The 16,654-nt window shown below is 47.3% G+C and overlaps 1 long non-coding RNA gene across 2 annotated transcripts in view; it reads left to right on the top strand.

Annotated features, from left to right (window-relative positions):
• LOC105374308 (uncharacterized) overlaps positions 1-16,654 on the top strand; it is a 42,702-nt gene that overhangs the window by 13,480 nt on the left and 12,568 nt on the right. The window contains exon 5 of one of the 2 annotated variants that reach the window (NR_189109.1): positions 5,230-5,442. The exons of the other annotated variant lie outside the window; for it this stretch is intronic. This is a non-coding gene — a long non-coding RNA (uncharacterized LOC105374308). Of the gene's footprint in view, positions 1-5,229; positions 5,443-16,654 lie in introns of those variants that run through there. 2 annotated transcript variants of the gene reach the window in all.

Below are 16,654 nucleotides of genomic sequence, written 5' to 3'. Positions count from 1 at the left end.
AAAAATTAGCTGGGTGTGGTGGCTCACGCCTGTGATCCCAGCTACTCAGGAGGCTGAGGCAGGGGAATCCCTTGAACCCAGAGGCAAAGGTTGCAGTGAGCTGAGATCGCGCCACTGCACTCCAGCCTGGGCGACAGGGCGAGACTCTGTCTCAAAAAAACAAAAGCAAAAACAACAAACAAACAAACAAAAAAGAGCTCAGGTTTTAGAGCCATACACACCTAGTTTACATTCTGCCCCAGCCACTTAGATAGTTGTGTGACATTGGGCAAACTGCCTAACCTTTCTAAGCCTCAGTTGGCTCACCTGCACATTGATAATACACACCACAAGAGCTTGCCGGGGGCCACTGCCTGCTTCTTGAAGATAACAGTTGTTTCTGAGATATCAGAAAGTTCCATCAGTGTCTTGGCCAGGCGTCCTCTCTTGTAGATAGTAGCACTTCCTCCTACTGTGGCTATCTCAGTGTAGGCCGCCTTCCCGTACCCCCCCCACAACACCTGGAATTCTGAGCCAAAGGCCCCCAGATAGGATGACATCTTAGCGGCCAGTGGGTAGAAGTGAGCCCTCTCCTCCGGACCCACTGACTCTTCAGGCCCCACAAGCTTACACATCAGGCACATGTAGATTTCTTTCCTGAAGGATCAGGGTGATTTCATAGAGTAGCAACAGAACCTAGAGCACGCATCTACTTAGAATTTTTCCTGAATCTCACAAGGACAGACTTAGATCTTTATAAGGAGGGCCTACTTGGAGTCCCCCTCCACTCCTACACATTTGGACCTCAAGTACAAAGGCATGCTGTCCTCTTTGGTCTGTGCAGGGCCTGCTTTTGTGTTCATTATTTATGTTTATTCTTCCATGCACCCCTCCCATTCTCCTTCCCCCCATAGGCAATTATGGATTTAGTATATATCCTTTTGTATATTTCTTGCAAACCATATGGTGGTATTTTCATGTGTTTTTGTTGTACCTAAATGGTGTTGTCTCACATAGTGCATTCTTTCCCTCCTCCTTCCACCCAGCACTCTGCCTTTATGATCCATCCACATTGCCGTGTGTTGTTCTAGCCAGCTTTCCCTCTTCACTTTCCCCGTGACACACTCTGGGTGACTTTCAGTTTCCCCGCCACGAGTAACAACACGGCAATGAGCACCCTCCAAAAGCACTTCTGCTCCCTCCTAACCGGACTCACCTGCTCTCAGGTTGGTCCGTGCAGTCTCTAACTTTTGAGTCTGAAAACTCACAAAGCGCTCTCTCTCTCTTAGATTTTTCTTGAGTCATGAAGCCCACAGTAACACCCAGGCGGCATAGGAATGAGCGTTAATGTTTGTTCCACCTTTTTTCTCCTGGGGCCCCAGGGAAGAGGCTTCTAGACCTCTGGTCTCAGACAATAAGAGCCTCTTCTGTGAGTTTTTGTATCAGGCTCAGGTTGCTTTCTTCGTTTGATTGAATAAAGAAAGCACGTGTTCCAAAGGCAAACACGTTTCCCCCCTCAGAAACAGTACAGTCTAAAGCCATAAGGAATCTTTCCTTCATCAACCACACATTCACCCTGCCCTTGGAATCCTGTTGAGGAGACTTGGGTCTCTTTTTGTCAGTGGGGAGTGAGGAGAAGGCTCAGGGAGTTCTGCTGATGCTTCAGAAGAGCTACTCTTGATTTTCATGGCTGCTCTGAGCTCATACATGAGGAAAGGCATAGGCCTCCATTAATTTTTTTCATCAGTAATTGTCTTCTAGTCAAGAAGAGCTTCATGGTTTGCCAGTTCCTCGCAAACAGGAGCTTTAATAGGACTGAACGCTATTCACTGAATGCTGTCTATTCCTAGTGGGCAAAGTTGTATGGATTTCCCGACATCTTCATTGTCCTGGTCCATCTTCTTCGCTCAGGCCACTTCCTCAACTTTCTCAGTCAAACCGTCTCTTTTTGGGAGGTCCAGAGGTGTTGCACAAGACTCAAGGAGCTCTACACCAGGAGCCAGTGGTCCTGGCCTGGACCCTGACCTGTCTCCATGGCTTGTGTGATGCTGAACTACTGGTTGAAACTCTCAAAGCCTCCATTTTCTTGTTAAAAGACAGGTGGAGTGAGGTAGGGAGTAGTGTTGGAGATTTAAGGCCTTCTGAGTTGTTTTGTTTTTTTTTTTTCAGACAGGATTTTTCTGTGTCACCCAGGCTGGAGTGCAGTGGGGCAATTACAGCTCATTGCAGCCTTGACCTCCCTGGTCAAGCAATTCTCCCACCTCAGACTCCCAAGTAGCTGATTCTACAGGCATGCGCCACCACAGCTAGCTAATTTTTTAATTTTTTTGTAGAGATGGGGGTCTCACTATGTTGCCCAGGCTGGTCTTGTACTCCTGGGCACAAGTCATCCTTCCATCTCGACCTCCCACAGTGCTGGGATTACAGGCATGAGCCACCGCACCTGGCCATCTTTTGGTTCTTCACATCTGTGTTTTTGCAAAGGCTTTGGTATTCCTTTGCCATCTGCCTTCTCCCTCCCCACTTTAACTATGCCCCTTTCTGATCCCAACCCTCCACCAGCCCCTCTTGCCTCTCTAGCTCCCAGCCTTCACCTCTCACCTCTCTCCCCTGTTCGTTCTCAGATACATTTTCTCCTAAGAAATGTTCATACCCTGCTAGCCTCCTTCATGGAAACAACTGTTCTCGGTATGCAGGGTCTCCCCTCCTCTCCTGACCTCTCCTGACCCTCCTCTCAGTCACACAATCCTCTGAGGTTTTTATCAAGTAAGTGGAAGCCGAGTGCTTTGAAGTAACTTGATTTGCCCTGAAACCACCTCAAATTCTTGGGGCTTCTCTTGATCAGGAGTAATTCTGGGCTACCCTGGAGCTCTCATGGTCACACAGGATCACAGGCTACCCCAGAGTCCTCTAGGTCTTCCCCAGATCTGCTTCTTAGGCTAGGAGAAGACAGGAACCAACAAATCTCTTCTATGGCAGATTGCTATGCCTCTCACCCTTTCCCCTGTCAAATCAAGCCCACAAGGATTTCTTTTTTTCTAAGAACTGTAGGCTACCACCTCTGCCTAGACTCACTCATGTATCCTTTCTTTTTTCTTTTTCTTTCTTTTCCTTCCTTCCTTCCTTCTTCCTTTCTTTCTTTCAGACAGGGTCTCACTTTGTCACCTAGGCTGGAGCACAGTGGTGTGATGTCAGCTCACTGCAACCTCCGCTTCCCGGGCTCAAGCTATCCTTCCACCTCAGCCCCCTAAGTAGCTGCAACCGCAGGAGTGTGCCACCATGCCAGGCTATTTTTTGTGTGTTTTTGGTAGAGATGGGGCTTCCTCATGTTGCCCAGGCTGGCATGCATCCTTTCATGCATTCACTCACTCATCAAACATAAGGGGAAATAGCTCAAGGATTCCAAGATGGGTATGTGCAAAGACCTGGCCTTCCAGATAATGATGACTGAAGATCTGGAGACAGGGCCCATCCCCTTCTAACACACACAGTGGTGGAAAAATGGGACTAGAGGCCGAGTTAGGGTTAGGGGAGGTTTTGCCTGAAGCCTTTTGCTGAAGCTGTGATCACTCCATTGCAAGGTTGTTTGCAAGTACACGCATTCCTTCCGACACAGCAGCATATACAGCAAAGCATGAAAATCAATAGGACGAGAAAGACCAAGGATTGTGCAGTGATAAATAGGTGTATTTATCAGCTTGCCCTTCTGTCTGAGCTCCCTGTCTTTCCAGGCCACCTTGCCCTCCTTTTCTCTCTAGAACCCATCTTGCTGCAATTCACAGGGGACAGTAAGAGGGTGGAAGACATCCCTGAGGGGACTTAGTGCATTACACATGGGGACCCCCACCATGACTTTGCCTAAGTCAAGCAGCGAGATGTCCTGTCTTCTTATGATGTCATACGCTGAAGTATTCTTTCAAACTTCTTGTTATCTTGGAACCACATCCATTTGCTCGATATCTTTTTGGTTTGTTTGTTTGTTTGTTTTTTGAGACAGAGTCTTTCTCTGTCACCCAGGCTGGAGTACAGTGGTGTGATCTCGGCTTGCTGCAACCTCCACCTCCCAGGTTCAAGTGATTCTCTTGCCTCAGCCTCCCAAGTAGCTGGGATTACAGCGGGCCACCATGCCTGGCTACTTCTTGTATTTTTAGTAGAGATGGAGTTTCACTATGTTGGCCAGGCTGGTCTCGAACTCCTGACCTCAAGTGATCTGCCCACCTTGGCCTCCCACGGTGCTGGAATTACAGGTGTGAGCCACCCAGACTAGATATCAATTTTTAGTTCTGAAGACACCCCAATTATTTGGTGTCACGAGTAGTCATAACACTAGACCATATTTTAAGGAACTCTTAGATAAAGAAAGACCAAATACTTGATAAAGATATGTAATGCAGTGGCAAATTTATGTACAACTGCTCAGAGGTGAAAAAGAGTATGTGGAGGTTGTTCTATGACTGGCCTAATCTTTCTTGAGAGTCCTCTCCCTGTTGTACAGTGCAAGTAAAGATCATGAGCACTTGACAATGAACAGTAACTCATTTGACTTCAGTTTTGAGAGGCTCACTGGGGCAAATGCTCAGAAGTGCTGATTTCTCTCCCGTCCCCCTGTTCTTCCCCAAGATGGCAGCAGGGTGGATGGGGAGTAGCCTTGGAGTTCTTGCTTGTCCTGTGCTGGCCTCTGGGTCTTTGTGGGTTCCTGTTGCTGGCCAGGTATTTGATTGGTTTATGATTTCCACAGTGGACCTTGTGGTTCAGTCAGTGCCTAGCGCACCCCCTTGCTGACTCAACACCTTCTGAGTCTCAGCTACATACCCCTCCAGCCTAAGACCACCCTATTCCTCAACGTGGATCCCGCATGTGAGGCCCATTGGCTTTTGCCTCAATGACCATCTCTATGTCCCAAGGGGTACATAGGAACCTCTGGGCTCTTCCATAGGGAACCTATGCTCCCTTGCGGGAGCATTGACACAGGCCTCTCCCCGCCTCACCACCGTATGTGAGCATTTTTCACTCTTAGTATGGCTACCCCCTCTTAGTGGTGGGGCCTGCAAGCTGATCTCACAAATGCCACCGTGGAATGGAAGGCGTGTTAAAAAAAAAAAAAATCTTTGCTTTTGCTTTCCCCCAAGACTACCTAACAACCCCTAATCCTAATCCACAGTCTTGGATTTCAAGCTTGGGGGTGGGGCTGGGGGGCCAAAAATCTCAGGTCTGTTTCCTTCCCCTATTTCTCTCTTTTCCTTCTCGCAGTGTCCACTGGAGCAAGAAGGGGAGGCTCTCACCTCTTTGCTTTCTGTTATGTCTTCCATCGTCCATAGGGCAGTGACCCTCATGGCTTGGCCACAAGAAAAGCAGGCATCTTCTCTAAACTATGGAAGAAATCATGAGGTGGGGCCCCCAGTCTTTTGGTATGGGAGATGCCAAACAAACAGGAAATAAAGACACAATTGCACTCCTTTACTATCTCCCGAATAGCTCCATTATGTTTTACATTTATGTATGATTCCTAGTCTTTCTCCAGATGAGTATTGTTGTCTAGGAAGACATAAATGTTAGGCAGATAATATATATTTTTAATTTCTACTCTATGAAAGTCACTATACTGGGGAAGGGGAAAACAAATGATAAGACATGGTCTCAGCCCCCAAGGAACTAACATTCTATGAACTGTGATAAATGTAAACCAGGAACGGAGGTGCAGCAGGAATTGTAAATGCTTGCATGGTGCAGTGCAACAGCTGACGCAAGAGGACTTGGTGTGCTTTGAATGAGATGCAAATTGAACGGGGATTGAAGAAGTCACAGATGACTAAAATGACTAGGATTTCAAGACTGGATGTCAGGCATATGGAGGTTTGGAGGTGATCTGGTTTGGTTTTGTATGCTCTGCTGCTAGAATTGTAGCTCTAATTGCTCACCACACACCAGGCCTCGTTCCTGGCTGCTCCTCGGAGTTCAGTGCACATGAGGCTGATGCGTGGATTTGCCCCCTACATGCCTGACTGGTTTTTAAAGAGAAAACAAGTCCATAGCAAAACTTGACTCTTTCAGCGTTTGCCAAAAAGACAAAAATGGCTTTTGAAAACCCAGAGCTCACCTCCCCTTTTCCCAGCTTCATCATTGACAGCAGCAATGATGCTTCATCATTGACAGCAGCAGCAACAGCTACAGCTACAGCTTAAGATACAGCTAGAGCTCAAACAGCCCCAGACATGGATTATGGAGAGCCAGCAGGGCTCCACTGTAACCCCAGACACGGATTATGAAGAGCCAGCAGGGCTCCACTCTAACCCCAGACACGGATTATGGAGGGCCAGCAGGGCTCCACTCTAACCCCATACACGGATTATGAAGAGCCAGCAGGGCTCCACTCTAACCCCAGACACGGATTATGGAGGGCCAGCAGGGCTCCACTCTAACCCCAGACACAGATTATGAAGAGCCAGCAGGGCTCCACTCTAACCCCAGACACGGATTATGAAGAGCCAGCAGGGCTCCACTGTAACCCCAGACACGGATTATGAAGAGCCAGCAGGGCTCCACTCTAACCCCAGACACGGATTATGAAGAGCCAGCAGGGCTCCACTCTAACCCCAGACATGGATTATGGAGAGCCAACAGAGCTCCACTCCAACCCCAGACACGGATTATGGAGAGCCAGCAGGGCTCCACTCTAACCCCAGACACGGATTATGGAGGGCCAGCAGGGCTCCACTCTAACCCCAGACACGGATTATGGAGGGCCAGCAGGGCTCCACTCTAACCCCAGACACGGATTATGGAGGGCCAGCAGGGCTCCACTCTAATCCCAGACATGGATTATGGAGAGCCAGCAGGGCTCCACTCTAACCCCAGACACGGATTATGAAGAGCCAGCAGGGCTCCACTCTAACCCTAGACATGGATTATGAAGAGCCAGCAGGGCTCCACTCTAACCCCAGACATGGATTATGGAGGGCCAACAGGGCTCCACTCCAACCCCAGACATGGATTATGGAGGGCCAGCAGGGCTCCACTCCAACCCCAGACATGGATTATGGAGGGCCAGCAGGGCTCCACTGTAACCCCAGACATGGATTATGGAGAGCCAACAGGGCTCCACTCCAACCCCAGACACGGATTATGGAGAGCCAGCAGGGCTCCACTCCAACCCCAGACACGGATTATGGAGGGCCAGCAGGGCTCCACTGTAACCCCAGACACGGATTATGAAGAGCCAGCAGGGCTCCACTGTAACCCCAGACACGGATTATGAAGAGCCAGCAGGGCTCCACTGTAACCCCAGACACGGATTATGAAGAGCCAGCAGGGCTCCACTGTAACCCCAGACACGGATTATGAAGAGCCAGCAGGGCTCCACTCTAACCCCAGACACGGATTATGAAGAGCCAGCAGGGCTCCACTCTAACCCCAGACATGGATTATGGAGAGCCAACAGGGCTCCACTCCAACCCCAGACACGGATTATGGAGAGCCAGCAGGGCTCCACTCTAACCCCAGACACGGATTATGGAGAGCCAAGAGGGCTCCACTCCAACCCCAGACACGGATTATGGAGAGCCAGCAGGGCTCCACTGTAACCCCAGACACGGATTATGAAGAGCCAACAGGGCTCCACTCCAACCCCAGACATGGATTATGGAGAGCCAGCAGGGCTCCACTCTAACCCCAGACATGGATTATGGAGAGCCAACAGGGCTCCACTCCAACCCCAGACACGGATTATGGAGAGCCAGCAGGGCTCCACTCTAACCCCAGACACGGATTATGGAGGGCCAGCAGGGCTCCACTCTAACCCCATACACGGATTATGAAGAGCCAGCAGGGCTCCACTCTAACCCCAGACACGGATTATGGAGGGCCAGCAGGGCTCCACTCTAACCCCAGACACAGATTATGAAGAGCCAGCAGGGCTCCACTCTAACCCCAGACACGGATTATGAAGAGCCAGCAGGGCTCCACTGTAACCCCAGACACGGATTATGAAGAGCCAGCAGGGCTCCACTGTAACCCCAGACACGGATTATGAAGAGCCAGCAGGGCTCCACTCTAACCCCAGACATGGATTATGGAGAGCCAACAGAGCTCCACTCCAACCCCAGACACGGATTATGGAGAGCCAGCAGGGCTCCACTCTAACCCCAGACACGGATTATGGAGGGCCAGCAGGGCTCCACTCTAACCCCAGACACGGATTATGGAGGGCCAGCAGGGCTCCACTCTAACCCCAGACACGGATTATGGAGGGCCAGCAGGGCTCCACTCTAATCCCAGACATGGATTATGGAGAGCCAGCAGGGCTCCACTCTAACCCCAGACACGGATTATGAAGAGCCAGCAGGGCTCCACTCTAACCCTAGACATGGATTATGAAGAGCCAGCAGGGCTCCACTCTAACCCCAGACATGGATTATGGAGGGCCAACAGGGCTCCACTCCAACCCCAGACATGGATTATGGAGGGCCAGCAGGGCTCCACTGTAACCCCAGACATGGATTATGGAGAGCCAACAGGGCTCCACTCCAACCCCAGACACGGATTATGGAGAGCCAGCAGGGCTCCACTCCAACCCCAGACACGGATTATGGAGGGCCAGCAGGGCTCCACTGTAACCCCAGACACGGATTATGAAGAGCCAGCAGGGCTCCACTGTAACCCCAGACACGGATTATGAAGAGCCAGCAGGGCTCCACTCTAACCCCAGACACGGATTATGAAGAGCCAGCAGGGCTCCACGCTAAAGAGGGGAAGGAAGATGGAAGATACTCTCTTTAGGAGCTGGTGGTGAAGCCAGGAGGCCCAGCACTCGGCGGTGCATTAATGCAACAAGTATTTATTGAGTGCCTACTATATACTAGGCTCTGTTCTAGGCATTGAGAATACAGTGGTAAGAGAGAGAGACAGAAAAGGACTACATTCTAGTAGAAAATATAAACAATAAATAAGTAAAAAACAAATATAAACATGAACTATAAAAATATCAGAGTGGTAAGTGCTATGCAAAAAATTAAAATAGAGTGATGGGCTAGAGAGAAGTTGAGTGGCCCCTTTGGAGGAGTTGGTCAGCGAAGTTCGGCAAAAAATATACTTCTTGTGGGCTTCTGAGTTGAGCATAAGTAACTCTATACTTATTATTGAAGTAAATTGTATTACTTGTCTCCACATGCCTTAGAGCTTTTGTGTGTAGTTTTTTCTGACATTTACAGTTTGTAAAGTATTTGGCAATAATTTAATAACAGGCCACGCTTGTTTTCTCTTAAGCTTCTATTATATTGGATTAAGATAGTCCAGTCTACTTCCAGTAGAAGTGGATGGAGTGAAAGATGTTGCTTCTTTGGCTCAAACTGCAAATAAGTCTGATAACCTTGCATAGAGAGCAATTTCCATGAAGAAAAATGGGGGAAGCAATCAATTCACTAAAGGAGGAATCAGAGGAAAGGAAATGAGGGCATTGGATATAGGAAACAGGGACCACAAGTTGGGAGCAATCTTCTCATTCTACTTGATGGGAACATTATACCTCCTTTCTTGTCTGTCATTTAATGGAGCTAATACTGAGCCATGGGTCATTTCCCCGTAAAACAACCTCTTGTTTTCTCTGAAAGGATCCTCTCAGGAATACACAATGCTTAATAGCCTTGCTCAGACACTCAGTCTAATGGTGACACCCTAAAACAACAAGCATATTGGCAATTGCAAACTAAGGTTTCTGAGACTTTACAGAAAGAATCACCAATAAGAGAGTAACAAGCCCAAGGAAAGGTCAGCTCATGCCAGTTTGGAGGCTGGCCTATTCCCGCCGAGTAGGCAGATGCAGCCATCTCCTCCCCAAGGGAGGACCACTAATGAGCGCAGCTCTGTGATTTAAAGAGCTATCGATTTGTCCGTGACATTCAAGTATTTCTGAAGAACAGGGTTTGAAATATGCTGTTTCATAGCATTTTACCCCAAATGGCCGCATCGAATAGAGATTGGAATAATATATAGAAATGAAAGGCACCGTATTCCCTTAAACCTCATTATCCTTTTGATTAGCCAATTCACATTCTGTTCAACATTCTGCTTAATTTGCTTTTTCTGTATGGTGAGATCAATAACTTTAAGTGTTGTTTCTCGAAGTTGCTATTACTGGTGGGAGACTCAACAAGTTAACAGTCACCACGTGTAATATCAGTAGCTTAAGTGCACAATACCTAGCTGGGCATGGAGGCGCGTGCCTGTAATCCCAGCTACTTGGGAGGCTGAGGCAGGAGAATTGCTTGAACCTGGGAGGCAGAGGTTGCAGTGAGCTGAGATCGCACCACTGCATTCCAGCCTGCACGACAGAGTGAGACTCCATTAAAAAAAAAAAAAAAGTACAATACCAAATGGGAGGGATCTGAAGTGATTCTTCCTTTTGTCTTCCCTGTGAGAGGGACAATTTGCTGACTTCTGAGGGGAAAATCTAGGGGAAGATTTGTAAAAGTCATCTTCTAGTATAAAGAGATACTTGTGTTTTGGCTTCTCAGAGGACTAGAGCCCTCATTGCCAAGCGGAGACAGGAGACTATGTGGAGAGAGGAGACTAGTTAAGTGGAGAGAGTTATGTGGAGAGAGGAGACTAGTTATGTGGAGGGAGGAGACTAGTTATGTGGAGAGAGAAGACTAGTTATGTGGAGGGAGGAGACTAGTTATGTGGAGAGAGGAGACTAGTTATGTGGAGAGAGTTATGTGGAGAGAGGAGACTAGTTATGTGGAGAGAGGAGACTAGTTACGTGGAGAGAGTTATGTGGAGAGAGAAGTGCTCGTTGGCTAAAGGAAGACACCTTCTTCATGCTGTTTGGGTCAGTCAATAATAGGAAGAGTTTCTGCTTAGCAGGGAGCTAAAGCTGAGGTTTGACATAGCAGAGCTGCCGTATGTGAAAATGGAGGTGGGAGTAGTGGCGGGCAAGCCCTCTTCCCAGCCCAGCCCACAGCCCCTTCTCAGAGAATCAACTCCCTGTCTCCCTGCTGAGTCCCCTCAGCACTCACTCCCTTAACCGTCTGCCACAGCTGATTAGATCGTGGGCAGGCACGTAACTCCAGCTGGTCCAGTCAGACACGTTCTGACCTAGGAATGTAAATTTGGGTCGCGGAAACTTAGATTTTTTTTTTTTTTTTTTTTTGAGATGGAGTCTCGCTCTGTCATCCAGGCTGAAGTGCAGTGGCACAATCTAAGCTCTGCTCACCGCAATCTCTGTCTCCCAGGTTCAAGTCATTCTCCTGCCTCAGCCTCCTGAGTAGCTGGGATTGCAGGCATGCACCACCACACCTGGCTAATTTTTGTATTTTGAGTAGAGACAGGGTTTCACCATGTTGGCCAGGCTGGTCTTGAACTCCTGACCTCATGATCCACCAGCCTTGGTCTCCCAAAGTGCTGGGATTACAGGCATGAGCCACCGTGCCCGGCTGGAAACTTAGGTTTCTGATAAGCACTTGAACTATGGGTTGGTTATTGCTATGGTTTGAATGTATGTGTACCTCCAAAACTCAACTGTTCAGATCTAATACCCAACGCGATCGTATTAAGAGGTAGGGTCTTTTGGGAAGTGATTAAGTCATGAGTATTCTACTCTCATGAATGGGATTAATGCTCTCATCAAAGAGGTTGAAGAGGGCACCCTAATCCCTTTTTGCCCCTCCATCTCTTCTGCTGTATAAGAACACAGTTCATCGCTTTTGCTGCCTTCCACCACGCAACAAGGCTTCATCTTGGAAGCAGAGAGTGAGCCCTCACCTGACACTTAATCTGCTGACATCTTGATCTTGAACTTCCCAGCCTCTAGAACTGTGAGAAACAAATTCCTATTATTTACACATTACCCAGTCTAAGATATTTTGTCACAGCTGCACAAACAGACTGAGACAGATAAAAAGCTAGTATCAAGGCACCCATGTTCAGACATGGTTAAGTGAGCAAAGAAAGATAATAATGAAAGCAAACGCTTGCAACGTGCCTGGCACTGTTCAAAGAACTTTACATATATTGATTCAATCTCACAACAATCTTATGAGGTAAAAGTACCATTGTTATCTTTATTCCCACTTTACAAATGAGGAAACTGAAGAACAGAAGCTTAAGGAACTTGCCCAGAGTCACCAATAACTAAGTCGTGGGGCTGGCATTTAGCACCCTGGCTTGGAGACTGCCCTTAATCACATACCACATGCTAAACTGTTCTCTGGAGAGAGAGAGAGAGATTGAGAAGGCATGTGCCTTAGAGAGCCAGAAATAAAAGACAATATAGCTCTAGAGAGAAAGAGATTTGGAGAGACAAGCCAGTCTGGCTCTTGTCAGCTTTGCAGTTTCTGGCATTAATTCCTATGAAGCCTGGCCTCATTTCCTGTCTTGGGGCTCCACCAGATCCCTCTATTTCTAATCAATGTTCTTTTTTGCTTATGTTAGCTTGAATGAGTTCTGTTCATTGCAACTAAATGCTCTCTGACTCAAGAAGTTGGAAAATGAAGGAATATTTTCCAATAGGGGGTCTGCTAGAATTGTGTTATGTTAATCAGCTACAGAAGTATGTGAGAGATGTTTTAATTTTGCTCTTTTAAAAGTTCACACAGTATACTAAGCAAGGATGATCTAATTGCTTTTATAGCCAAGAGTAAGTGATTCCAATTTGTCCTGTCTCTGTCCAATGACTGGGACCAATGCAGTCATGGCTGCCCTTCCGTCTGGTGGAATTGGAACTGAATTACAGGGATAGAATTTTGGAATGGGAGTAAATTAAGAACCAATCAATCAGAAGAAGAGTATAGATGATGTATCCGTAATGAGTCTTAATTTTTATTTCTTAGTTAATGGGTTTTAATTATTGCATGAGTTCTCCATTGCTGCATTACAAATCATCTCAAAAAACTCAGTGGTTTAAAAAAATCATTTTATTATCTTTCATGGTTTCTGTGGATCAGGAATTCAGACAGGCCAAAGCAGAGATGGCTTGTCTTTGCCCCACAATATCTGGGACCTCAGTTGGGTGTGGCTGAGGGCTGGAATAATCTGGGGGCTGCCTTCCGCTCATATGTCTCGCTCTGGTGTGACTGTTCGCTGGGACCTCGCTTGGGCCATCATCCAGAATACCTACATTTGACTTCTTCATGTAATTTCTCACATGACCTAATGGGTCTTCCCCATAGCGTGGCTGCTGGGTTCTAAGAACAAGCATCCCCAGAAAGAGCCAGATAGAAGCTGCATCACTTTTCATGATCCAGCCTTGAAAGTTGCATGGCATTCCTTCTGCCACAGTCACAAGCCTGCCCACCCTAGGAGGTGGGAGTGGAGATCCCACATTTTGAGGGGAGAAATGTCAGAGTCACATAGTTAGAAGATAACATTGGATGGGAGTTGTTGTTGCAGACATCTTTGGAAACTAGCATCACGGCAAAATACAATGACAAATGTTGACTTAAAAAAATACATTGTGTGGAAGCCTATAAGCCTCCTATTTCTTTAAAAAGCAGAGCACTTGGTAAAGTTTTAAGTAGCCTGATTATAATTTTCATCACTTGAAAGAAACAAGTAACAGCAAGAGGACCAGCAAAGAACTGTGAGTTATGTGAAAATAATAACAGCTTGGGCCAGTGTCCATCCTATTAAAGCAGGATGTGTGTCTTCAGACTTACAGACTTGAGGAAAGCAGATTTCAAAACATTCAAAACAGATGATCTCATAGTGAGAACCTCTGAAAGGGAGTATGGCTAAGAAAGGATGGCTCTAAAAATAAAATTCAGAACCTAAAATTGCAAATGATCCTAATGAGGAAGAAAAGAGACATCCAAAGAAAACAGCATTTCTGCTGATGAGCGCCAATTTGAAGAGAACACACACAAAGATGGAAGGAGGGGCACAAAATCAAGGGTGTATACAGAAGAATGTCACAAACTCTTACGAATCTCAGAGGAAATCAAAAGCATAGAGAAGGTTGACGTTTCAAGGGTTGAGGGAAGCTAAAGATAAATCATCAAAAAGACCCGTTTGACTGTGTGTAGAAGAACAGGGAAAGAACAGGCATAATCCACTTTCAAACCATAATATCATCTGTTAAAACAACTAGTTAGCCTACTAGATGATGACACAATACGTCTGGAAGAAAGAAAAGCTTCAATGCAAACACAATTTTGTAACATTTCCTACAAGTGACAGAGAGAACGTCAAATGAGTTCCCTAGCAGCCCCAGAGGGACGAAGCTCTCTAGGAGCCGAATTTCCTTTGTGGGGCAACGTATGTGGAGACCTAAGGCAGCAGTTGGGGTAGCAGAGGGCCTTCTTTTTTCTTTTTTTCTTTTCTTTTTCTTTTTCTTTTTTTTTTTTTTGAGACAGAGTCTTGCTCTGTCGCCCAGGCTGGAGTGCAGTGACACGATCTTGGCTCACTGCAACCTCCGCCTCCCAGGTTCAAGTGATTCTCCTGCCTCAGCCTCCCAAGTAGCTGGGATTACAGGCGCTTGCCACCACACCTCACTAATTTTTTTGTGTATTTTTAGTAGAGATGGGGTTTCACCGTGTTGGCCAGGAAAGTTTTGTTCTCCTGACCTCGTGATCTGCTTGCCTTGGGCTCCCAAAGTGCTGGGATTACAGGCATGAGCTACCGCGCCTGGCCGCAGAGGTCCTGCTGAGTCAGGGTATCTGGCTTCAGGATGTGGCTTGAGCAGGTGACTCTGGGTGAACTGGGATTGTGCTGCTTCTCTGTTTAAGATTCTTTTATACCACAGTGGGAGAGTCTTAGATAATTTTTCAAGTCCCTTCAAAGGAGAAGATGCCAGGATTTGGAGAGCTTGTGTGTTTCATCTCTGTGAACACCCTGTCATGGAGGGTCTGCACTAACTAGTGTGCTGGGTCCATGCTGAATAGAAGAGGGAAGTAGGCCTGGAGAGTCTCAGAGTAATGGCGGCTTCCTGGTGCTCCTGCTCCTACCTAACTCTTGGTGTCTCCTTTCAGGACTAGGTGGGGAGTCTCTGGGGACTGAGGCACTTCCAGCCCTCGAATAAGTATTCCCAGGAAATGTACCTTCACCCCCAAGTCCTAAGCAGATCCCAGCATGTCCAGGCAAAAGTAGGGAGTCGTATTGAGAACAAATGAACAAATGGATGAGGCTGTGACCTGAATTGATGCCACACACCTTGCAGCTTCTTCCCGCCTCCCTCAGCTCCCCGATATCTCAGACTCAGAGTTTAGGGGGAGCTTCTGATGCTCTGGATGGGGACTATTACTTGGGTGGGAGGGAAGGGAAGGTTTACTGATAACATAAACATGATCCTAGCAACTTGTAGATGTTAACTAAAACCTGTGCACAGAAGATCAGAGAATTTCTCTTTTGAAGGCTGAAGGGAAGAGAGAGCAAGTTTGTCTCCTCTGCTGCCAGAACAGAGCGGGGCACCCTGAGTTTATCCCATCTTTGTCCTGGTCTGTTCCTATTGACAAGAGAGGCTCCAGGTCTCACCCCCTATCCCCCAGGTAGGAGGGTAAGCCCACTGCACTGGGGTTTCTAATTTCGGGGGTAATCCCTTCCTTCCATGCCAGGCAGGAGGGTGGGGAGACCCCTCTATCCAAGTCTTTGATCTGGGTTGGAGCAAAAGAGAAGGACTTCTATAAAACTGTCAGGGAGATGGGAAGGGGGCTTGAAAGAGAGGTTGTAAATGGGCAGTTCACCTTTGATCACCCGCCCCAGATCCTTTTTATAGCCCAGGATTATGGGTTTAGAAGTGCGCTTCGTGTGTCCCCGAAGGAATCGTGTGACTTAAGAACATTGTTCTTAAAGTTCTTACATTGTTCTGAAAGTTCAGAGAGACTGCACACAAAGGACTTTCGTTTTCATTAAAAAAGGAGAAAGAAAAAAGAAAAAGAAAACATCAGCTCAAATCATGCAGCGATCCCTAAGTTAGTAATAAACTGGAAACCCAGTCTGTTTCTTTCCATGTAATAGGATACTTTCTGGCCTGGTAATTCCACTAAAATCTATTAAATGATGAAGGTACAAGATATATTTTTATTCCCCATTCCCCTGCCCTCCAGACAAAAGAAGGAATTTGCTGTCTATTATTGCTAGATTTTTATTTCCTGCTGTTAAAACGTCAGAGAAACAGAAGCTTAATTGTCTGAGTTTTGTCACTTGGGTATAAAGAGATGTTAGAGCTGACTGCTAATTTCCAATTTGTTTAATGTGTGTGGTCAAATACTTCGCAGACAAACTGATTCATCATGGCTGTATCTCTGTGTGTTTCCACACGTCTCTATCCCCTCCCACCTCCATCACCACTCAAAGAGAAGGAAAGTTTGCAATCTGTTGTTCATCTTAAACTCTGCTCAGTCTTTTGCTGGGAAATATAAACAGCTTCCCGCCAGTGTTGAGGGAAAGTTTGTGATTTAGGAGAAGCAAGCGTCTTTTCAATGTGGCTGGTTGTAGCCACCGCCCTTCTCCTTGCTCAGTGAGCCCTGCTCTCTCAAGCAGCATAGCTGTGAACAGCCCTGTCCCCAAGCCGCACTAGTTGCCACACCCTGGGAACGCCCCTTTTCCTGCCACAGCCCTGGCTTCCCCTGCGTGTGCATCAGCTGGAAGGCTAAGTCAGATCTCTGTGAAGCTGGAAAGCTTGCCTGGCATCTGTCACATTTCAGCTGCCACCCAGGCCCATTCCAAGCCCACTGGAGTCACGTGGAGC

This window comes from Homo sapiens, chromosome 3 (genome assembly GCF_000001405.40).
Source record: "Homo sapiens chromosome 3, GRCh38.p14 Primary Assembly".
Taxonomy (NCBI): Eukaryota; Metazoa; Chordata; class Mammalia; order Primates; family Hominidae; genus Homo; species Homo sapiens.
This window is presented reverse-complemented; position numbering and strand designations above follow the sequence as displayed.